Here is a 22,792-nt window from a genome sequence, read left to right on the forward strand (position 1 = left end):
TAACCCTAACCCTAACCCTAACCCAACCCCACCCCAACCCCAACCCCAACCCAACCCTAACCCTAACCCTAACCCAACCCTAACCCTAACCCTAACCCAACCCTCACCCTCACCCTCACCCTCACCCTCACCCTCACCCTCACCCTAACCCTACCCTAACCCCTAACCCCTAACCCCTAACCCCTAACCCTTAACCCTAACCCTAACCCTACCCTAACCCTAACCCTAACCCCTAACCCCTAACCCCTAACCCTAACCCTAACCCTAACCCTAACCCCTAACCCCTAACCTCTAACCCTAAACCCTAAACCCTAAACCCTAAACCCTAAACCCTAACCCTACCCTAACCCTAACCCTAACCCAACCCGAACCCGAACCCGAACCCGAACCCGAACCCGAACCCGAACCCTAACCCCAACCCCAACCCCAACCCCCACCCCCACCCCCACCCTCACCCTCACCCTCACCGTAAGCACATGAGGAATGTGGGTGTTATATTTTGGGTATCATGTGTGCATTAGGAATGCTGCATTTGCGTTCCGACGCTGCAAGTGGACCCTGCAATGCAGCCCCTCCCCTTGCCTTGGGAGAATCTCGGTGCGCAGCATTCAGAGGGGCTTTTGCTTTCCCGTTTTCCGCACTGAACCGCTCTAACTGGTCTCTCACCTTGATTATTCATGGCTGCAACCGGGAAAGATTTTATTCACCGTTAATGCGCCCCGAGTTGTCCCAAAGCCAGTCAGTGGCCCCAACGTCTGTGCTTAGGGGAATGCTGCTCCACCTTTACGGTGACCCCCAGGTCTGTACTGAGCAGAACGCAGCTCCGCCCTCGCGGTACCCTCAGCCCGCCCGCCCGGGTCTGACCTGACGAGAACTCTGCTCCGCCTTCGCAGTACCACCGAAATCTGTGCAGAGGACAACGCAGCTCCGCCCTCGCGGTGCTCTGCGGCTCTGTGCTGACGAGAACGCAACTCCCCCGGCGCAGGCGCAGAGAGGCGCGCCGCGCCGGCGCAGGCGCAGAGAGGCGCGCCGCGCCGGCGCAGGCGCAGAGACACATGCTAGCGCGTCCAGGGGTGGAGGCGTGGCGCAGGCGCAGAGACGCACGCCTACGGGCGGGGGTTGGGGGTGCGTGTGTTGCAGGAGCAAAGTCGCACGGCGCCGGGCTGGGGGCGGGGGGGGGGGGGGGGGGGGGGGCGCCGTGCACGCGCAGAAACTCACGTCACGGCGGCGCGGCGCAGAGACGGGTGGAACTTCAGTAATCCGAAAAGCCGGGATCGACCGCCCCTTGCTTGCAGCCGGGCACTACAGGACCCGCTTGCTCACGGTGCTGTGCCAGGGCGCCCCCTGCTGGCGACTAGGGCAACTGCAGGGCTCTCTTGCTTAGAGTGGTGGCCACCGCCCCCTGCTGGCGCCGGGGCACTGCAGGGTCCTCTTGCTTACTGTATAGTGGTGGCACGCCGCCTGCTGGCAGCTACGGACATTGCAGGGTCCTCTTGCTCAAGGTGTACTGGCAGCACGCCCGCCTGCTGGCAGCTGGGGACACTGCTGGGCCCTCTTGCTCCAACAGTAGTGGCGGATTATAGGGAAACACCAGGAGCATATGCTGTTTGGTCTCAGTAGACTCCTAAATATGGGATTCCTGGGTTTAAAAGTATAAAATAAATATGTTTAATTTGTTAACTGATTACCATCAGAATTGTACTGTTCTGTATCCCACCACCAATGTCTAGGAGTGCCTGTTTCTCCACAAAGTGTTTACTTTTGGATTTTTGCCAGTCTAACAGGTGAAGCCCTGGAGATTCTTATTAGTGATTTGGGCTGGGGCCTGGCCACGTGTATTTTTTTAAATTTCCACTGATGATTTTGCTGCATGGCCGGTGTTGAGAATGACTGCGCAAATTTGCCGGATTTCCTTTGCTGTTCCTGCATGTAGTTTAAACGAGATTGCCAGCACCGGGTATCATTCACCATTTTTCTTTTTGTTAACTTGCCGTCAGCCTTTTCTTTGACCTCTTCTTTCTGTTCATGTGTATTTGCTGTCTCTTAGCCCAGACTTCCCGTGTCCTTTCCACCAAGCCTTTGAGAGGTCACAGGGTCTTGATGCTGTGGTCTTGATCTGCAGGTGTCTGACTTCCAGCAACTGCTGGCCTGTGCCAGGGTGCAAGCTGAGCACTGGAGTGGAGTTTTCCTGTGGAGAGGAGCCATGCCTAGAGTGGGATGGGCCATTGTTCATCTTCTGGCCCCTGTTGTCTGCATGTAACTTAATACCACAACCAGGCATAGGGGAAAGATTGGAGGAAAGATGAGTGAGAGCATCAACTTCTCTGACAACCTAGGCCAGTAAGTAGTGCTTGTGCTCATCTCCTTGGCTGTGATACGTGGCCGGCCCTCGCTCCAGCAGCTGGACCCCTACCTGCCATCTGCTGCCATCGGAGCCCAAAGCCGGGCTGTGACTGCTCAGACCAGCCGGCTGGAGGGAGGGGCTCAGCAGGTCTGGCTTTGGCCCTGGGAGAGCAGGTGGAAGATCAGGCAGGCCATCGCTGCCACAGAACCCAGTGGATTGGCCTAGGTGGGATCTCTGAGCTCAACAAGCCCTCTCTGGGTGGTAGGTGCAGAGAGGGGAGGGGCAGAGCCGCAGGCACAGCCAAGAGGGCTGAAGAAATGGTAGAACGGAGCAGCTGGTGATGTGTGGGCCCACCGGCCCCAGGCTCCTGTCTCCCCCCAGGTGTGTGGTGATGCCAGGCATGCCCTTCCCCAGCATCAGGTCTCCAGAGCTGCAGAAGACGACGGCCGACTTGGATCACAATCTTGTGAGTGTCCCCAGTGTTGCAGAGGTGAGAGGAGAGTAGACAGTGAGTGGGAGTGGCGTCGCCCCTAGGGCTCTACTGGGCCGGCGTCTCCTGTCTCCTGGAGAGGCTTCGATGCCCCTCCACTCCCTCTTGATATTCCCTGTGATGTCATCTGGAGCCCTGCTGCTTGCAGTGGCCTATAAAGCCTCCTGGTCTGGCTCCAAGGCCTGGCAGAGTCTTTCCCAGGGAAAGCTACAAGCAGCAAACAGTCCGCATGGGTCATCCCCTTCACTCCCAGCTCAGAGCCCAGGCCAGGGGCCCCCAAGAAAGGCTCTGGTGGAGAACCTGTGCATGAAGGCTGTCAACCAGTCCATAGGCAAGCCTGGCTGCCTCCAGCTGGGTGGACAGACAGGGGCTGGAGAAGGGGAGAAGAGGAAAGGGGGGTTGCCTGCCCTGTCTCCTACCTGAGGCTGAGGAAGGAGAAGGGGATGCACTGTTGGGGAGGCAGCTGTAACTCAAAGCCTTAGCCTCTGTTCCCACGAAGGCAGGGCCATCAGGCACCAAAGGGATTCTGCCAGCATAGTGCTCCTGGATTAGTGATACACCCGGCACCCTGTCCTGGACAAGCTGTTGGCCTGGATCTGAGCCCTCGTGGAGGTCAAAGCCACCTTTGGTTCTGCCATTGCTGCTGTGTGGAAGTTCACTCCTGCCTTTTCCTTTCCCTAGAGCCTCCACCACCCCGAGATCACATTTCTCACTGCCTTTTGTCTGCCCAGTTTCACCAGAAGTAGGCCTCTTCCTGACAGGCAGCTGCACCACTGCCTGGCGCTGCGCCCTTCCTTTGCTCTGCCCGCTGGAGACGGTGTTTGTCATGGGCCTGATCTGCAGGGATCCTGCTACAAAGGTGAAACCCAGAAGAGTGTGGAGTCCAGAGTGTTGCCAGGACCCAGGCACAGGCATTAGTGCCCGTTGGAGAAAACAGGGGAACCCCGAAGAAATGGTGGGTCCTGGCCATCCGTGAGATCTTCCCAGGGCAGCTCCCCTCTGTGGAATCCAATCTGTCTTCCATCCTGTGTGGCCGAGGGCCAGGCTTCTCACTGGGCCTCTGCAGGAGGCTGCCATTTGTCCTGCCCACCTTCTTAGAAGGGAGACGGAGCAGACCCATCTGCTACTGCCCTTTCTATAATAACTAAAGTTAGCTGCCCTGGACTATTCACCCCCTAGTCTCAATTTAAAAAGATCCCCATGGCCACAGGGCCCCTGCCTGGGGGCTTGTCACCTCCCCCACCTTCTTCCTGAGTCACTCCTGCAGCCTTGCTCCCTAACCTGCCCCACAGCCTTGCCTGGATTTCTATCTCCCTGGCTTGGTGCCAGTTCCTCCAAGTCGATGGCACCTCCCTCCCTCTCAACCACTTGAGCAAACTCCAAGACATCTTCTACCCCAACACCAGCAATTGTGCCAAGGGCCATTAGGCTCTCAGCATGACTATTTTTAGAGACCCTGTGTCTGTCACTGAAACCTTTTTTGTGGGAAACTATTCCTCCCATCTGCAACAGCTGCCCCTGCTGACTGCCCTTCTCTCCTCCCTCTCATCCCAGAGAAACAAGTCAGCTGGGAGCTTCTGCCCCCACTGCCTAGGGACCAACAGGGGCAGGAGGCAGTCACTGACCCCGAGACGTTTGCATCCTGCACAGCTAGAGATCCTTTATTAAAAGCACACTGTTGGTTTCTGCTCAGTTCTTTATTGATTGGTGTGCCGTTTTCTCTGGAAGCCTCTTAAGAACACAGTGGCGCAGGCTGGGTGGAGCCGTCCCCCCATGAAGTACAGGCAGACAAGTCCCCGCCCCAGCTGTGTGGCCTCAAGCCAGCCTTCCGCTCCTTGAAGCTGGTCTCCACACACTGCTGGTTCCGTCACCCCCTCCCAGGGAAGCAGGTCTGAGCAGCTTGTCCTGGCTGTGTCCATGTCAGAGCAACGGCCCAAGTCTGGGTCTGGGGGGGAAGGTGTCATGGAGCCCCCTACGATTCCCAGTCGTCCTCGTCCTCCTCTGCCTGTGGCTGCTGCGGTGGCGGCAAAGGAGGGATGGAGTCTGACACGCGGACAAAGGCTCCTCCGGGCCCCTCACCAGCCCCAGGTCCTTTCCCAGAGATGCCTGGAGGGAAAAGGCTGAGTGAGGGTGGTTGGTGGGAAACCCTGGTTCCCCCAGCCCCCGGAGACTTAAATACAGGAAGAAAAAGGCAGGACAGAATTACAATGTGCCGGCCCAGGGTGGGCAGCGGCCCTGCCTCCTACCCTTGCGCCTCATGACCAGCTTGTTGAAGAGATCCGACATCAAGTGCCCACCTTGGCTCGTGGCTCTCACTGCAACGGGAAAGCCACAGACTGGGGTGAAGAGTTCAGTCACATGCGACCGGTGGCTCCCTGTCCCCACCCCCATGACACTCCCCAGCCCTCCAAGGCCACTGTGTTTCCTAGTTAGCTCAGAGCCTCAGTCGATGCCTGACCCAGCACCGGGCACTGATGAGAAAGTGGCTGTTTGAGGAGCCACCTCCCAGCCACCTCGGGGACAGGGCCAGGGTGTGCAGCACCACTGTACGATGGGGAAACTGGCCCAGAGAGGTGAGGCAGCTTGCCTGGGGTCACAGAGCAAGGCAAAAGCAGCGCTGGGTACAAGCTCAAAACCATAGTGCCCAGGGCACTGCCGCTGCAGGCGCAGGCATCGCATCACACCAGTGTCTGCGTTCACAGCAGGCATCATCAGTAGCCTCCAGAGGCCTCAGGTCCAGTCTCTAAAAATATCTCAGGAGGCTGCAGTGGCTGACCATTGCCTTGGACCGCTCTTGGCAGTCGAAGAAGATTCTCCTGTCACAGTTTGAGCTGGGTGAGCTTAGAGAGGAAAGCTCCACTATGGCTCCCAAACCAGGAAGGAGCCATAGCCCAGGCAGGAGGGCTGAGGACCTCTGGTGGCGGCCCAGGGCTTCCAGCATGTGCCCTAGGGGAAGCAGGGGCCAGCTGGCAGGAGCAGGGGGTGGGCAGAAAGCACCCGGTGGACTCAGGGCTGGAGGGGAGGAGGCGATCTTGCCCAAGGCCCTCCAACCGCAGGCTCCAGGGCCCGCTCACCTTGCTCCTGCTCCTTCTGCTGCTGCTTCTCCAGCTTTCGCTCCTTCATGCTGCGCAGCTTGGCCTTGCCGATGCCCCCAGCTTGGCGGATGGACTCTAGCAGAGTGGCCCAGCCACCGGAGGGGTCGACCACTTCCCTGGGAGCTCCCTGGACTGGAGCCGGGAGGTGGGGAACAGGGCAAGGAGGAAAGGCTGCTCAGGCAGGGCTGGGGAAGCTTACTGTGTCCAAGAGCCTGCTGGGAGGGAAGTCACCTCCCCTCAAACGAGGAGCCCCGCGCTGGGGAGGCCGGACCTTTGGAGACTGTGTGGGGCCCGGGCACTGACTTCGGCAACCACCTGAGCGCGGGCATCCTGTGTGCAGATACTCCCTGCTTCCTCTCTAGCCCTCACCCTGCAGAGCTGGACCCCTGAGCTAGCCATGCTCTGACAGTCTCAGTTGCACACATGAGCCAGCAGAGGGGTTTTGTGCCACTTCTGGATGCTAGGGTTACACTGGGAGATACAGCAGTGAAGCTGAAATGAAAAATGTGTTGCTGTAGTTTGTTATTAGACCCCTTCTTTCCATTGGTTTAATTAGGAATGAGGAACCCAGAGCCTCACTTGTTCAGGCTCCCTCTGCCCTAGAAGTGAGAAGTCCAGAGCTCTACAGTTTGAAAGCCACTATTTTATGAACCAAGTAGAACAAGATATTTGAAATGGAAACTATTCAAAAAATTGAGAATTTCTGACCACTTAACAAACCCACAGAAAATCCACCCGAGTGCACTGAGCACGCCAGAAATCAGGTGGCCTCAAAGAGCTGCTCCCACCTGAAGGAGATGCGCTGCTGCTGCTGTCGTCCTGCCTGGCGCCTTGGCCTACAGGGGCCGCGGTTGAGGGTGGGAGTGGGGGTGCACTGGCCAGCACCTCAGGAGCTGGGGGTGGTGGTGGGGGCGGTGGGGGTGGTGTTAGTACCCCATCTTGTAGGTCTGAAACACAAAGTGTGGGGTGTCTAGGGAAGAAGGTGTGTGAGCAGGGAGGTCCCCGGCCCAGCTCCCATCCCAGAACCCAGCTCACCTACCTTGAGAGGCTCGGCTACCTCAGTGTGGAAGGTGGGCAGTTCTGGAATGGTGCCAGGGGCAGAGGGGGCAATGCCGGGGCCCAGGTCGGCACTGTACATGAGGTCGTTGGCAATGCCGGGCAGGTCAGGCAGGTAGGATGGAACATGGATCTCAGGCACCTGGCCCAGGTCTGGCACATAGAAGTAGTTCTCTGGGACCTGCAAGATTAGGCAGGGACATGTGAGAGGTGACAGGGACCTGCAGGGGCAGCCAACAAGACCTTGTGTGCACCTCCCATGGGTGGAATAAGGGGCCCAACAGCCTTGACTGGAGAGGAGCTCTGGCAAGGCCCTGGGCCACTGCACCTGTCTCCACCTCTGTCCCACCCCTCCCACCTGCTGTTCCAGCTGCTCTCTCTTGCTGATGGACAAGGGGGCATCAAACAGCTTCTCCTCTGTCTCTGCCCCCAGCATCACATGGGTCTTTGTTACAGCACCAGCCAGGGGGTCCAGGAAGACATACTTCTTGTACCTACGGAGGCGACATGGGGGTCAGGCAAGCTGACACCCGCTGTCCTGAGCCCATGTTCCTCTCCCACATCATCAGGGGCACAGTGTGCACTGTGGGGTCCCAGGCCTCCCGAGCCGAGCCACCCCAGTCACCCCCTGGCTCCTGGCCTATGTGCTGTACCTGTGTCTGATGCCCTGGGTCCCCACTAAGCCAGGCCGGGCCTCCCGCCCACACCCCTCGGCCCTGCCCTCTGGCCATACAGGTTCTCGGTGGTGTTGAAGAGCAGCAAGGAGCTGACAGAGCTGATGTTGCTGGGAAGACCCCCAAGTCCCTCTTCTGCATCGTCCTCGGGCTCCGGCTTGGTGCTCACGCACACAGGAAAGTCCTTCAGCTTCTCCTGAGAGGGCCAGGATGGCCAAGGGATGGTGAATATTTGGTGCTGGGCCTAATCAGCTGCCATCCCATCCCAGTCAGCCTCCTCTGGGGGACAGAACCCTATGGTGGCCCCGGCTCCTCCCCAGTATCCAGTCCTCCTGGTGTGTGACAGGCTATATGCGCGGCCAGCAGACCTGCAGGGCCCGCTCGTCCAGGGGGCGGTGCTTGCTCTGGATCCTGTGGCGGGGGCGTCTCTGCAGGCCAGGGTCCTGGGCGCCCGTGAAGATGGAGCCATATTCCTGCAGGCGCCCTGGAGCAGGGTACTTGGCACTGGAGAACACCTGTGGACACAGGGACAAGTCTGAGGGGGCCCCAAGAGGCTCAGAGGGCTAGGATTGCTTGGCAGGAGAGGGTGGAGTTGGAAGCCTGGGCGAGAAGAAAGCTCAAGGTACAGGTGGGCAGCAGGGCAGAGACTGGGCAGCCTCAGAGGCACGGGGAAATGGAGGGACTGCCCAGTAGCCTCAGGACACAGGGGTATGGGGACTACCTTGATGGCCTTCTTGCTGCCCTTGATCTTCTCAATCTTGGCCTGGGCCAAGGAGACCTTCTCTCCAATGGCCTGCACCTGGCTCCGGCTCTGCTCTACCTGCTGGGAGATCCTGCCATGGAGAAGATCACAGAGGCTGGGCTGCTCCCCACCCTCTGCACACCTCCTGCTTCTAACAGCAGAGCTGCCAGGCCAGGCCCTCAGGCAAGGGCTCTGAAGTCAGGGTCACCTACTTGCCAGGGCCGATCTTGGTGCCATCCAGGGGGCCTCTACAAGGATAATCTGACCTGCAGGGTCGAGGAGTTGACGGTGCTGAGTTCCCTGCACTCTCAGAAGGGACAGGCCCTATGCTGCCACCTGTACATGCTATCTGAAGGACAGCCTCCAGGGCACACAGAGGATGGTATTTACACATGCACACATGGCTACTGATGGGGCAAGCACTTCACAACCCCTCATGATCACGTGCAGCAGACAATGTGGCCTCTGCAGAGGGGGAACGGAGACCGGAGGCTGAGACTGGCAAGGCTGGACCTGAGTGTCGTCACCTAAATTCAGACGGGGAACTGCCCCTGCACATAGTGAACGGCTCACTGAGCAAACCCCGAGTCCCGACCACCGCCTCAGTGTGGTCTAGCTCCTCACCTGCTTCCATCCTCCCTGGTGCGGGGTGGGCCCAGTGATATCAGCTGCCTGCTGTTCCCCAGATGTGCCAAGTGCATTCTTGTGTGCTTGCATCTCATGGAACGCCATTTCCCCAGACATCCCTGTGGCTGGCTCCTGATGCCCGAGGCCCAAGTGTCTGATGCTTTAAGGCACATCACCCCACTCATGCTTTTCCATGTTCTTTGGCCGCAGCAAGGCCGCTCTCACTGCAAAGTTAACTCTGATGCGTGTGTAACACAACATCCTCCTCCCAGTCGCCCCTGTAGCTCCCCTACCTCCAAGAGCCCAGCCCTTGCCCACAGGGCCATACTCCACGTGCAGAGCAGCCTCAGCACTCACCGGGCACGAGCGAGCCTGTGTGGTGCGCAGGGATGAGAAGGCAGAGGCGCGACTGGGGTTCATGAGGAAGGGCAGGAGGAGGGTGTGGGATGGTGGAGGGGTTTGAGAAGGCAGAGGCGCGACTGGGGTTCATGAGGAAAGGGAGGGGGAGGATGTGGGATGGTGGAGGGGCTGCAGACTCTGGGCTAGGGAAAGCTGGGATGTCTCTAAAGGTTGGAATGAATGGCCTAGAATCCGACCCAATAAGCCAAAGCCACTTCCACCAACGTTAGAAGGCCTTGGCCCCCAGAGAGCCAATTTCACAATCCAGAAGTCCCCGTGCCCTAAAGGGTCTGCCCTGATTACTCCTGGCTCCTTGTGTGCAGGGGGCTCAGGCATGGCAGGGCTGGGAGTACCAGCAGGCACTCAAGCGGCTTAAGTGTTCCATGACAGACTGGTATGAAGGTGGCCACAATTCAGAAAGAAAAAAGAAGAGCACCATCTCCTTCCAGTGAGGAAGCGGGGCCACCACCCAGCGTGTGCTCCATCTTTTCTGGCTGGGGAGAGGCCTTCATCTGCTGTAAAGGGTCCTCCAGCACAAGCTGTCTTAATTGACCCTAGTTCCCAGGGCAGCCTCGTTCTGCCTTGGGTGCTGACACGACCTTCGGTAGGTGCATAAGCTCTGCATTCGAGGTCCACAGGGGCAGTGGGAGGGAACTGAGACTGGGGAGGGACAAAGGCTGCTCTGTCCTGGTGCTCCCACAAAGGAGAAGGGCTGATCACTCAAAGTTGCGAACACCAAGCTCAACAATGAGCCCTGGAAAATTTCTGGAATGGATTATTAAACAGAGAGTCTGTAAGCACTTAGAAAAGGCCACGGTGAGTCCCAGGGGCCAGCACTGCTCGAAATGTACAGCATTTCTCTTTGTAACAGGATTATTAGCCTGCTGTGCCCGGGGAAAACATGCACCACAGCGCATCTCGAGTCAGCAGGATTTTGACGGCTTCTAACAAAATCTTGTAGACAAGATGGAGCTATGGGGGTTGGAGGAGAGAACATATAGGAAAAATCAGAGCCAAATGAACCACAGCCCCAAAGGGCACAGTTGAACAATGGACTGATTCCAGCCTTGCACGGAGGGATCTGGCAGAGTCCATCCAGTTCATTCAACACCTGGTTAGAAAACTGGGGCCAGCACACAGGGGAAGGGTAAGCTGGTTTCATGATCGAATCAAGGCTCAGACAATTTTTAAAGGCCAGAGGGTAGACTGCAATCACCAAGATGAAATTTACAAGGAAGAAATGTGAAGCCCAACATTTAGGTTTTAAAAATCAAGCGTATAAATACAGAAGGTGGAGAGAACTTGCTTTAGACACAGTTCAGGTGAAGAAAGACCTGGAAACTTCTGTTAACTATAAGCTCAGTAGGGGCTAAAAGCATGTTAATCGGCATAAAAAGGCAATGAGATCTTAGGGCACACAGCTCCCCGCCCCTCTTCTGCCCTTCATCCTTCTTTCAATCAGCAGGGACCGTGCACTCTCTTGGAGCCACCACAGAAAACAGAGGTGCATCCAGCACCACAGAAAACAGAGCCACCACAGAAAACAGAGGGTGACTGTCATCCCCTCCAGTCTCTGCACACTCCCAGCTGCAGCAGAGCAGGAGGAGAGAGCACAGCCTGCAATGCTAATTTGCCAGGAGCTCACCTGCCTGCGTCACTGGGCACAGACGCCAGTGAGGCCAGAGGCCGGGCTGTGCTGGGGCCTGAGCTGGGTGGTGGGGAGAGAGTCTCTCCCCTGCCCCTGTCTCTTCCGTGCAGGAGGAGCATGTTTAAGGGGACGGGTTCAAAGCTGGTCACATCCCCACCGAAAAAGCCCATGGACAACGAAAAGCCCACTAGCTTGTCCAGTGCCACAGGAGGGGCAAGTGGAGGAGGAGAGGTGGCGGTGCTCCCCACTCCACTGCCAGTCGTCACTGGCTCTCCCTTCCCTTCATCCTCGTTCCCTATCTGTCACCATTTCCTGTCGTCGTTTCCTCTGAATGTCTCACCCTGCCCTCCCTGCTTGCAAGTCCCCTGTCTGTAGCCTCACCCCTGTCGTATCCTGACTACAATAACAGCTTCTGGGTGTCCCTGGCATCCACTCTCTCTCCCTTCTTGTCCCTTCCGTGACGGATGCCTGAGGAACCTTCCCCAAACTCTTCTGTCCCATCCCTGCCCTGCTCAAAATCCAATCACAGCTCCCTAACACGCCTGAATCAACTTGAAGTCCTGTCTTGAGTAATCCGTGGGCCCTAACTCACTCATCCCAACTCTTCACTCACTGCCTTGCCCCACACCCTGCCAGGGAGCCTCCCGTGGCACCGTGGGGACACAAAGGAACCAGGGCAAAGCTCCCTCAGCCCCATTCAAAGAGGCCTGGCCCACAGGCTCACGGAAAGTCAGCCTCTCATGCCCCAAGAGCTGAGTGCAAGGGAGAGGCAGCGCTGTCTGTGCTTCCCATGCAGAAGCACCCCCCTCCCACCCCTGTGCAGGCCGGCCTTCGCGGCAGACCACCATACACCACGTTCCAAGCCACACTGAGGCCTCCCTCCAAGCCTGCAGCCCCCATTTCCAGACCCTGCCAGGGCAACCTGCATATCCACCTCCCTACCCTGCCCCCCTCTTCCAGGAGTCTGCCCTATGTGGAGTAAGCACGTGGTTTTCCTCTTCAGCAACTATTTCCTTTTTACTCAAGCAATGGCCCCATTTCCCTTGGGGAATCCATCTCTCTCGCAGGCTTAGTCCCAGAGCTTCAGGTGGGGCTGCCCACAGAGCTCCTCAGTCTAAGCCAAGTGGTGTGTCATAGTCCCCTGGCCCCATTAATGGATTCTGGGATAGACATGAGGACCAAGCCAGGTGGGATGGGTGAGTGTGGCTTCTGGAGGAAGCGGGGACACAGGACAGCATTCTTTCCTGCTGGACCTGACCCTGTGTCATGTCACCTTGCTACCACGAGAGCATGGCCTGTCTGGGAATGCAGCCAGACCCAAAGAAGCAAACTGACATGGAAGGAAAGCAAAACCAGGCCCTGAGGACATCATTTTAGCCCTTACTCCGAAGGCTGCTCTACTGATTGGTTAATTTTTGCTTAGCTTGGTCTGGGGAGTTCTGACAGGCGTGCCACCAATTCTTACCGATTTCTCTCCACTCTAGACCCTGAGAAGCCCACGCGGTTCATGCTAGCAATTAACAATCAATCTCGCCCTATGTGTTCCCATTCCAGCCTCTAGGACACAGTGGCAGCCACATAATTGGTATCTCTTAAGGTCCAGCACGAGGTGGAGCACATGGTGGAGAGACAGATGCAGTGACCTGGAACCCAGGAGTGAGGGAGCCAGGACTCAGGCCCAAGGCTCCTGAGAGGCATCTGGCCCTCCCTGCGCTGTGCCAGCAGCTTGGAGAACCCACACTCAATGAACGCAGCACTCCACTACCCAGGAAATGCCTTCCTGCCCTCTCCTCATCCCATCCCTGGGCAGGGGACATGCAACTGTCTACAAGGTGCCAAGTACCAGGACAGGAAAGGAAAGACGCCAAAAATCCAGCGCTGCCCTCAGAGAAGGGCAACCACGCAGTCCCCATCTTGGCAAGGAAACACAATTTCCGAGGGAATGGTTTTGGCCTCCATTCTAAGTGCTGGACATGGGGTGGCCATAATCTGGAGCTGATGGCTCTTAAAGACCTGCATCCTCTTCCCTAGGTGTCCCTCGGGCACATTTAGCACAAAGATAAGCACAAAAGGTGCATCCAGCACTTTGTTACTATTGGTGGCAGGTTTATGAATGGCAACCAAAGGCAGTGTACGGGTCAAGATTATCAACAGGGAAGAGATAGCATTTCCTGAAGGCTTCCTAGGTGCCAGGCACTGTTCCATTCCTTTGCATGTTTTGATTAATTTAATATTTAAAATAATTCTACCAGGAAGCTACCATTATTACCACAACTTCACAAATGAGAACACCGAGGCTTAGAGGGGTTGGGTTGCCCAAGGTTACAGAGGAAGAAAACAGGGGAGCTGGATCTGAGCCAAGGCATCAACTCCAAGGTAACCCCTCAGTCACTTCACTGTGTGTCCCCTGGTTACTGAGACATTCTTGACAAACTCGGGGCAAGCCGGTGAGTCAGTGGGGGAGGACTTTCAGGAAGAGGTGGGTTCCCAGTTGGTGACAGAAGAGGAGGCTGCAAAGTGAAGGAGCAGGGGCTCCAGGTCTGGCGACAACCAGGGAAGGGACAGGGCAGGGATGGCTTGGACCACGAGAGGCACCTGAGTCAGGCAGTCACATACTTCCCACTGGGGTCTACCATGTGAGACATGGTGTGGGATCCTGGGAAGGAGACCAAGCCTCATTTCAGTTTGCTTATGGCCAAAGACAGGACCTGTGTACCCGACAACCCCTGGGACCTTTACCAAAAAAACAGCAAACACCATTCACTCACTCATGTTAGATAAACACTGAGTGAAGTCACTGGAGCCCAAGGACTGTGCGAGGTCAGCACTGCCAATACAAGAAGCTGCAGCCCTCCAGCTCGCCTCCCTCAATGGCCACTCCGTGCTCCAGCCATGCTGGCTTCCTTTTAGGTCCTCCACCTCCAGGCTGTAGTTCATGTGCTTCTTTCTGGAATGTTCTTCCCAACCTACCCACTCAACCCTCAGACTTTACCATAAATGTCATTTCCTCACATCTGCCTTCCCTGACCTGAGACCAAGCCAGGCTTCCCATGACGAGCCTCACAGTACCCCATCTCCCCTGAACAGATGCAGTAATAACCTACATAACCCGGGGCCATGATCTATGGCTTTGAATCCTGGCTCTGTCACTAGGCCAGGTCTCTCAGCCCTTCTGTGCCTCAGTTTCCTCATCTATAAAATGAGATGACGGCAGTGCCTGCTCATGAAGTGTGAGTTAATGCACTCAAATCAATGGTTGTGCACGGTTTATATGAATATTAGTGATTACAAAATATTATCAATAGACCTTGTCACAACTGTTATTGAAGAACTAATCATCTATTGCTTATTTAGGTCTTTCTCTCCTGCCAGAATGTGCGCTCCAGGTGGAGAGGTATGTTGCCTTATCCGTGGCTGGATATATAGAGATTCCCACACTGCCTTGCACACGAGCACTGCTGGGTAAATATTTGTTGGCTGCAGGAAAACGTGAAGGAATAGGCCCTCCAATGGGAGGAAAAGCATGAGTTGTGAGAGCAGAGCCACCACAGGAAACCAGGAGGCTAAGTGGGGTGGAAGGGAGTGAGCTCTCGGACTCCCAGGAGTAAAAGCTTCCAAGTTGGGCTCTCACTTCAGCCCCTCCCACACAGGGAAGCCAGATGGGTTCCCCAGGACCGGGATTCCCCAAGGGGGCTGCTCCCAGAGGGTGTGTTGCTGGGATTGCCCAGGACAGGGATGGCCCTCTCATCAGGTGGGGGTGAGTGGCAGCACCCACCTGCTGAAGATGTCTCCAGAGACCTTCTGCAGGTACTGCAGGGCATCCGCCATCTGCTGGACGGCCTCCTCTCGCCGCAGGTCTGGCTGGATGAAGGGCACGGCATAGGTCTGACCTGCCAGGGAGTGCTGCATCCTCACAGGAGTCATGGTGCCTGTGGGTCGGAGCCGGAGCGTCAGAGCCACCCACGACCAACGGCACGCCCCCACCACAGGGCAGCGTGGTGTTGAGACAACACAGCCCTCATCCCAACTATGCACATAGCTTCAGCCTGCACAGATAGGGGAGTAGGGGACAGAGCATTTGCTGAGAGGCCAGGAGCGCATAGATGGGACTCTGCTGATGCCTGCTGAGTGAATGAGGGAAAGGGCAGGGCCCGGGACTGGGGAATCTGTAGGGTCAATGGAGGAGTTCAGAGAAGGTGCAACATTTCTGACCCCCTACAAGGTGCTTGCTACCTGCCAGGCACCCTTTCCATACCTTGTCTCAGTTCAGCTCCCCACCTTGGATAAACAAGAAACCTTGGTTGCAGAGGAAAAAAGAGGCTGGAAACAAAGGGGTAGAAATGGGGTAGCAGGGGAGATTGCCTGATCAACTGCCAAATGGTACACAGTTCTGGAAAAGCACAAAAAATGTGCACACACGGGTTCTTCCCACTTTAACCCCTGAGGAATCTGAGGCCTGCTCCTGAAACAGACTGGGCAGTGGCTAGTGACTCTAGGTATAGGAGTATCCAGCCCTGCTCACCCAGGCTAGAGCTTAGGGGGACAAGAGGAAAGAGGTGCCTGTGGGGGTGGAGGACAGGAAGGAAAAACACTCCTGGAATTGCAAAGTGAGGGCAGAGTCTATTTATATTGGGTTTAATTAACTCCTCTCCCTGGTGCCACTAAAGCAGCAATCACACTGCAGACAGCACTGATTTGATTGGCAAGAGATGCACCAGGCAGAATATTAAGGGACCAGGCCCCTATAAATAGGCCTAATCACAGCCCCTCACTGGAAAATGGTAAGGAAGACATTAATCAGGCCTGGCACTGTGCCCTAGACCTGCTCCCCTAGGCACTACAGTGGGGCCCTTGGTTGCAACACAAGTAGGTATGGATGGATGAGTGTGGCATGAAGGGCCTAGGAGATTTCACTTGGGTTTAAAATGCTGTGACCTTGAGTAAGTTGCCGTCTCTGAATCTGATCCTTTCGATTTCCCATTCTCCAAACTGAGAACTAGCACTGCTGAGACGTGGTTATTTCCAATAATAATTTGTATATTTTACATAACGCACCACACCAACATCTTCACCCAGTTGGAGCCTACTCCTTTGCTCCCGCTGCTGGCTTCCCCAGCCCTCCCTTCTGCCCTCCTCAGGCCAGCACTTTTCAGTGAGTTCCTCCTTTGCATACAGGCTTTCCAGATCTGTACTTGCCTTGAATACTCATCAGAGCCCAGGAGTTACTCCTCACCTCCCACTTATTTTTCCTCCCATCAAATAACTAAAGCATGGCCAGCTGATGCCCAGCCAACTGAGAAACCCAACCCTCTGAGACCAGCACACCCCTTTCAAGCATGTTCCTCCCTCCCCTTCTTTGTATTTATACTGATGCAAGTTTGCTGGCTGTCCTAACTTATTTCTGTGCCTCAGTTCTCCCATATGTAAGATCACAAAGGGGGTAAAGATGCAAGATATTTCCTGTGCACATCTTCAGATGAATTTCTTGTTAGTGTGTGTGTGTTTGCTCACACATATGCGTGAAAGAAGAGTACATACACAGATCTCCTCAAAAAGGAGGCAGCAAGCCCGTTCAAGAATGGGACTGAATACACCTGATGAGTGGTTTACTTTCTGTCTGCAAACATCTACTGATCATCTGTTAGGTGCAGGCCATGATCACAACAAAGACGAATAAGACACTACACTAGCCAGGGAGAGTCTCAAAAACAACTAAACTCAAATTAAATTCATTCTACTCCAGTCATGGGTACAAAGCTAAGGAGTGACAAATCCCTCTTGGAGTTAGGGGAGTCAGGAAAAAGCTCTTAGCAGAATGTGTGCCTCTCGGCCGGGCGCAGCGGCTCACGCCTGTAATCCCAGCACTTTGGGAGGCGAAGGCAGGCAGATCACCTGAGGTCGGGAGTTCGAGACCAGTCTGACCAACATGGTGAAACTCCATCTCTACTAAAAATACAAAATTAGCCAGGCGTGGTGGTGCAGGCCTGTAATCCCCGCTACTCGGGAGGCTGAGGAAGGAGAATCACTTGAACCGGGAAGGTGGAGGTTGCAGTGTGCCAAGATCGCGCCATGGCACTCCAGCCTAGGCAACGAGGGTGAACCAGGTCCAGGAAGAAGGTGCAAAGACAGCATTCCAGGTAAAAGAAACAGCTTGAACAAAAAGTGTGTAGGGGAACCGCAAGCGGTCTTGAGTGCTGAGGGTACAATCATCCTTGGGGAAGTACTAGAAGAAAGAATGATAAACAGAGGCCAGTTTGTTAAAAACACTCAAAATTAAAGCTAGGAGTTTGGACTTGTGGCAGGAATGAAATCCTTAGACCTGTGCTGTCCAATATGGTAGCCACCAGGCACATGCAGCCACTGAGCACTTGAAATGTGGATAGTCTGAATTGAGATGTGCCATAAGTGTAAAATATGCACCAAATTTCAAAGGCTAGAAAAAAAGAATGTAAAATATCTTATTATTTTATATTGATTACATGCTAAAATAACCATATTTGGGATATACTGGATTTTAAAAATATATCACTAATTTCATCTGTTTCTTTTTACTTTTAGAAATCACATATGTGACTTAAATATTTCTTTTCTTTTTCTTTCCTCTCACTCAGCGTCCTGTGATTCCAAAGAAATGAGTCTCTGCTGTTTTTGGGCAGCAGATATCCTAGAATGGACTCTGACCTAAGCATCAAAATTAATCATCATAACGTTATCATTTTATGGCCCCTTCTTCCTATATCTGGTAGCTTTTAAATGATGACCATGTAGATAATCTTTATTGTCCCTCTTTCAGCAGACGGTATTTTCTTATGCTACAGTATGACTGCTAATAATACCTACACATGTTAGAACCATTCTGACTCCTCAAGAATCTCATTTAACTCTTATTATCAGTGAATTTATCATCATCCCCTATTTTACATAAGGAAATGGGGTTAGAAAGACCAAATAACATTTTTTCAACATCAAAACACTAGCTTGAGATCAAGCCCAGACTTGGATCTGTCGTCTGAATTCCAAGCTTTTTGTTATTTATTGATATGTTTTGTTGTTTTCATGCAATAATGCAAATATTAGCCCAAACATTTTGTTAGTAGTACCAACTGTAAGTCACCTTATCTTCATACTTTGTCTTTATGTAAACCTAAATTAGATCTGTTTTTGATACTGAGGGAAAAACAAGGGAATCTAACACTAACCAGCCCGTAGTGTGTGGTCAACACTTTCGTTACTTTAGTATACATCACCCCAATTGTTTGTCTTCACCACACACTTTGGAGTTAGGTAGTAGTATCTATTTTTACAAATAAGAAAACCCAGGCACAAAGGGGTTGATTAGCAATTATCTTTTGAAAAGCCTGTAGTTGCTCATCTGAAGAAGTGACGGACCACCTCTTATTTAGTGGACAGACAGTAACTAGTTGAGAAGACAGGGGATTTTGTTGGCGGAAAAAAAATTTTATCAAAAGTCGTCTTCTATCAGGGAGTTTTATGAGAAACCCTAGCTCCTCAGTTCCACAGTGGGTAACTGTAATTCATTCTAGGTCTGCGATATTTCCTGCCTATCCATTTTGTTAACTCTTCAATGCATTCCACAAATACCTAAGTATTCTTTAATAATGGTGGGTTTTTTTTTTTTTTTGCATCTATGAAGTTTTTTCAAATTCTTTTTAAGTGACAAAACTTGTACATGTGTATCGCTCAATATTTCTAGTCGACAGCACTGCTTTCGAGAATGTAAACCGTGCACTCCCAGGAAAATGCAGACACAGCACGCCTCTTTGGGACCGCGGTTTATACTTTCGAAGTGCTCGGAGCCCTTCCTCCAGACCGTTCTCCCACACCCCGCTCCAGGGTCTCTCCCGGAGTTACAAGCCTCGCTGTAGGCCCCGGGAACCCAAAGCGGTGTCAGAGAAGTGGGGTCCCCTACGAGGGACCAGGAGCTCCGGGCGGGCAGCAGCTGCGGAAGAGCCGCGCGAGGCTTCCCAGAACCCGGCAGGGGCGGGAAGACGCAGGAGTGGGGAGGCGGAACCGGGACCCCGCAGAGCCCGGGTCCCTGCGCCCCACAAGCCTTGGCTTCCCTGCTAGGGCCGGGCAAGGCCGGGTGCAGGGCGCGGCTCCAGGGAGGAAGCTCCGGGGCGAGCCCAAGACGCCTCCCCGAGCGCGGCTCCAGGACCCCGTCGACCCGGAGCGCTGTCCTGTCGGGCCGAGTCGCGGGCCTGGGCACGGAACTCACGCTCACTCCGAGCTCCCGACGTGCACACGGCTCCCATCCGTTGTCTTCCGAGCGTCAGGCCGCCCCTACCCGTGCTTTCTGCTCTGCAGACCCTCTTCCTAGACCTCCGTCCTTTGTCCCATCGCTGCCTTCCCCTCAAGCTCAGGGCCAAGCTGTCCGCCAACCTCGGCTCCTCCGGGCAGCCCTCGCCCGGGGTGCGCCCCGGGGCAGGACCCCCAGCCCACGCCCAGGGCCCGCCCCTGCCCTCCAGCCCTACGCCTTGACCCGCTTTCCTGCGTCTCTCAGCCTACCTGACCTTGTCTTTACCTCTGTGGGCAGCTCCCTTGTGATCTGCTTAGTTCCCACCCCCCTTTAAGAATTCAATAGAGAAGCCAGACGCAAAACTACAGATATCGTATGAGTCCAGTTTTGTGAAGTGCCTAGAATAGTCAAAATTCACAGAGACAGAAGCAGTGGTCGCCAGGAATGGGGAAGCAAGGCGGAGTTGGGCAGCTCGTGTTCAATGGGTAGAGTTTCAGGCTGGGGTGATGGAAGGGTGCTGGAAATGAGTGGTAGTGATGGCGGCACAACGGTGTGAATCTACTTAATCCCACTGAACTGTATGCTGAAAAATGGTTTAGACGGTGAATTTTAGGTTATGTATGTTTTACCACAATTTTTAAAAAGCTAGTGAAAAGCTGGTAAAAAGAAAGAAAAGAGGCTTTTTTAAAAAGTTAAATATATAAAAAGAGCATCATCAGTCCAAAGTCCAGCAGTTGTCCCTCCTGGAATCCGTTGGCTTGCCTCCGGCATTTTTGGCCCTTGCCTTTTAGGGTTGCCAGATTAAAAGACAGGATGCCCAGCTAGTTTGAATTTTAGATAAACAACGAATAATTTCGTAGCATAAATATGTCCCAAGCTTAGTTTGGGACATACTTATGCTAAAAAACATTATTGGTTGTTTATCTGAGATTCAGAATTAAGCATTTTATATTTTATTTGCTGCCTCTGGCCACCCTACTCTCTTCCTAACACTCTCTCCCTCTCCCAGTTTTGTCCGCCTTCCCTGCCTCCTCTTCTGGGGGAGTTAGATCGAGTTGTAACAAGAACATGCCACTGTCTCGCTGGCTGCAGCGTGTGGTCCCCTTACCAGAGGTAAAGAAGAGATGGATCTCCACTCATGTTGTAGACAGAATGTTTATGTCCTCTCCAAATGCTTATGTTGAAACCCTAACCCCTAATGTGATGGTATGTGGAGATGGGCCTTTGGTAGGTAATTACGGTTAGATGAGGTCATGGGGTGGGGCCCTCATTATAGATCTGGTAAGAAAAGAGAGCATTGTCTCTGTGTCTCCCTCTCTCTCTCTCTCTCTCTCTCTCTCTCATTTCTCTCTATCTCATTTCTCTCTCTCTCTCTATCTCATTTTTCTCTCTCTCTCTTTCTCTCCTCTGTCTTTTCCCACCAAGTGAGGATGCGAAGAGAAGGTGGCTGTCTGCAAACCAGGAAGAGAGCCCTCACCAGGAACCTGTCCAGCTGCCACCTTGAACTTGGACTTCCAAGCCTCCAGAACTGTGAGGGATAAATGTATGATTTTAAAGTCGCCCAGTGTGTGGTATTTTGTTTTGACTAATACAACCTGAAAACATTTTCCCCTCACTCCACCTGAGCAATATCTGAGTGGCTTAAGGTACTCAGGACACAACAAAGGAGAAATGTCCCATGCACAACGTGCACCCATGCCTGGGTAAAGCAGCCTGGCACAGAGGGAAGCACACAGGCTCAGGGATCTGCTATTCATTCTTTGTGTGACCCTGGGCAAGCCATGAATGGAGCTTCAGTCACCCCATTTGTAATGGGATTTAATTGTGCTTGCCCTGCCTCCTTTTGAGGGCTGTAGAGAAAAGATGTCAAAGTATTTTGTAATCTGGCTGGGCGTGGTGGCTCATGCCTGTAATCCTAGCACTTTGGTAGGCTGACGCGAGAGGACTGCTTGAGCCCAAGAGTTTGAGATCAGCCTGGGCAATATTGTGAGATTCCATCTCTACAAAAATAAAATAAAATAGCCAGTCATGGTGTCACACACCTGTAGTCCCAGCTACATGGGAGGCTGAGGCGGGAGGATCACTTGAGCTTGGGAGATCGAGGCTGCAGTGAGCTATGATTGTACCACTGCACTCCAGGCTGGGCGACAGAGAGAGACCCTGTCTCAGAAAAAAAAAAAAAAGTACTTTGTAATCTGTAAGGTTTATTTCAACACACACAAAAAAAGTGTATATGCTCCACGATGCCTGTGAATATACACACACACCACATCATATACCAAGCCTGGCTGTGTCTTCTCACAAATGCACTGCTAGGCACCACCCCCAGTTCTAGAATCACACCAGCCAGTTCACCCTCCAGATGGTTCACCCTCAACTTCATAAAAGTTCCCTACCTAATCTACTGACAGGCTCATCCCCGACCTAATTTTAAAGATTTCCTAGGAGCTGCAATGGGAATCCTGGACCTCAGCCTGGACAAAGAACAGCTGCAGGTCATTCTCATGTGTGGACACAGAAGCTCTGCCTGCCTTTGCTGGCCAGCTGGGCTGAGCGGGCCTGGGAATTAAGGCTGCAGGGTTGGTCCCAGGCAGTCTTGCTGAAGCTTGCCACATCCCCCAGCCTCCTGGATTTGCCAGGATCCAAGAGCATGGACTTTAGGAATTCCTGGTGGAGGAGTGAAGAAAATGTGACAGGGTGTCCTAAGCCCCGATCTACAGGAAGAAAACTGGAAATAAGACTGAGGACTTAGTTTAAGATGTTCCTACTCAGCCTCTAGCTTTTGTGCTACAGTTCTGGGAACAGACTCCTCTCTCCTGAAAACCACTTCCCTCCGCAGCATTAAATTTCACCAAGATGTCTTGCTTGTGGGAAAGACTTCCAAGGATGCCTGGAGAGAGGAGGATGGAAATGTCCTGCTCTCTAAACAGATAGACAGATGCAGCCAGACAGAAAATAGTTTATCTTGCTGAGGTTTCTAATGTATTTGAAAGAGGCCTGGGTCTAGAAGTCTACCCAGAGGGCTCTGTGTTGTGCACGCAAAGATAAGAACCTTCCCTGTGGGAGTTCCAGAGCCAATTTTCCTAAACACCCATCGGTGACTGTGTTCAGAGTGAGTTCACACCATCCTGACCTGCCCTGAGTTAGACCTTACATGGTCTTCCTCCTCTAGGAAGCCTCTGCAGCCCAGGAACCTCCCCTTATCGGAAATGAACAGCATTTGAAGCTTCACCCGACAGACCAGACAGCTTAGCCCTCGTGTTGTGCCATGTGGGTTGTTCTCTGAGAGGCAGGAGAGCATAGTGGTTACTAGGAAGGGAAGGACTTTGGGACTAGACTGCCTCGGCTGGAGTCCTCTTTCTGCTTCATAGCCACGTGATCCTAGGCATGTTACCTGTGCCTCAGTTTTCACTCTGTCAATATGTAATAACTGAATCTGTCTTTGTGGTGAGGATTCAGT

General features: G+C 53.8%; 1 protein-coding gene, 1 long non-coding RNA gene, 1 other non-coding gene and 1 pseudogene across 24 annotated transcripts, besides 2 other annotated features; 3 read left to right on the forward strand and 1 right to left on the reverse strand.

Moving 5' to 3' along the window:
• Window positions 1–1,986: 1,986 nt before the first annotated feature.
• On the forward strand, window positions 1,987–4,525 carry DDX11L5 (DEAD/H-box helicase 11 like 5 (pseudogene); annotated as a pseudogene). The gene is made up of 3 exons (NR_051986.1): window positions 1,987–2,340; window positions 2,726–2,834; window positions 3,334–4,525. The product of NR_051986.1 is annotated as a DEAD/H-box helicase 11 like 5 (pseudogene) (transcript).
• Window positions 4,513–20,487, reverse strand: WASHC1 (WASH complex subunit 1). 21 transcript variants are annotated; one of them, XM_011517660.3, is made up of 11 exons: window positions 20,441–20,487; window positions 14,851–15,004; window positions 8,381–8,479; window positions 8,028–8,174; window positions 7,719–7,855; window positions 7,344–7,479; window positions 6,965–7,166; window positions 6,718–6,876; window positions 5,909–6,061; window positions 5,081–5,149; window positions 4,513–4,940 (listed from the first exon to the last, which is right to left on the reverse strand). In XM_011517660.3, exons 1-11 carry the CDS (start codon window positions 20,470–20,472, stop codon window positions 4,807–4,809), a joined length of 1,422 nt encoding a protein of 473 aa, XP_011515962.1. In that variant the 5' UTR covers window positions 20,473–20,487; the 3' UTR covers window positions 4,513–4,806. The 21 variants fall into 21 exon arrangements, with proteins under 21 accessions (XP_011515962.1, XP_011515961.1, NP_878908.4 ...); XM_011517659.3 differs by having other exon boundaries at window positions 8,381–8,482; NM_182905.6 differs by lacking the exon at window positions 20,441–20,487 and adding an exon at window positions 19,602–19,739 and having other exon boundaries at window positions 8,381–8,492.
• Window positions 10,697–11,539: an enhancer, noted in NCBI's record as "H3K27ac-H3K4me1 hESC enhancer chr9:20697-21539 (GRCh37/hg19 assembly coordinates)". NCBI's record gives its function as "activates a minimal SCP1, AML or CMV promoter by ChIP-STARR-seq in primed H9 embryonic stem cells {active_cell/tissue: H9 hESC(primed)}" and the evidence as "EXISTENCE:reporter gene assay evidence [ECO:0000049][PMID:30033119]".
• Window positions 11,540–12,381: an enhancer, noted in NCBI's record as "H3K27ac-H3K4me1 hESC enhancer chr9:21540-22381 (GRCh37/hg19 assembly coordinates)". NCBI's record gives its function as "activates a minimal SCP1, AML or CMV promoter by ChIP-STARR-seq in primed H9 embryonic stem cells {active_cell/tissue: H9 hESC(primed)}" and the evidence as "EXISTENCE:reporter gene assay evidence [ECO:0000049][PMID:30033119]".
• On the forward strand, window positions 19,659–20,891 carry MIR1302-9HG (MIR1302-9 host gene). The gene is made up of 3 exons (NR_197460.1): window positions 19,659–19,882; window positions 20,342–20,445; window positions 20,758–20,891. It is a non-coding gene; the product is annotated as an MIR1302-9 host gene (long non-coding RNA).
• Window positions 20,144–20,281, forward strand: MIR1302-9 (microRNA 1302-9). The gene has a single exon (NR_036266.1). It is a non-coding gene; the product is annotated as a microRNA 1302-9 (primary transcript).
• Window positions 20,892–22,792: the final 1,901 nt, after the last annotated feature.

The sequence above is a fragment of the Homo sapiens genome, chromosome 9 (assembly GCF_000001405.40).
Source record: "Homo sapiens chromosome 9, GRCh38.p14 Primary Assembly".
Classification (NCBI taxonomy): Eukaryota; Metazoa; Chordata; class Mammalia; order Primates; family Hominidae; genus Homo; species Homo sapiens.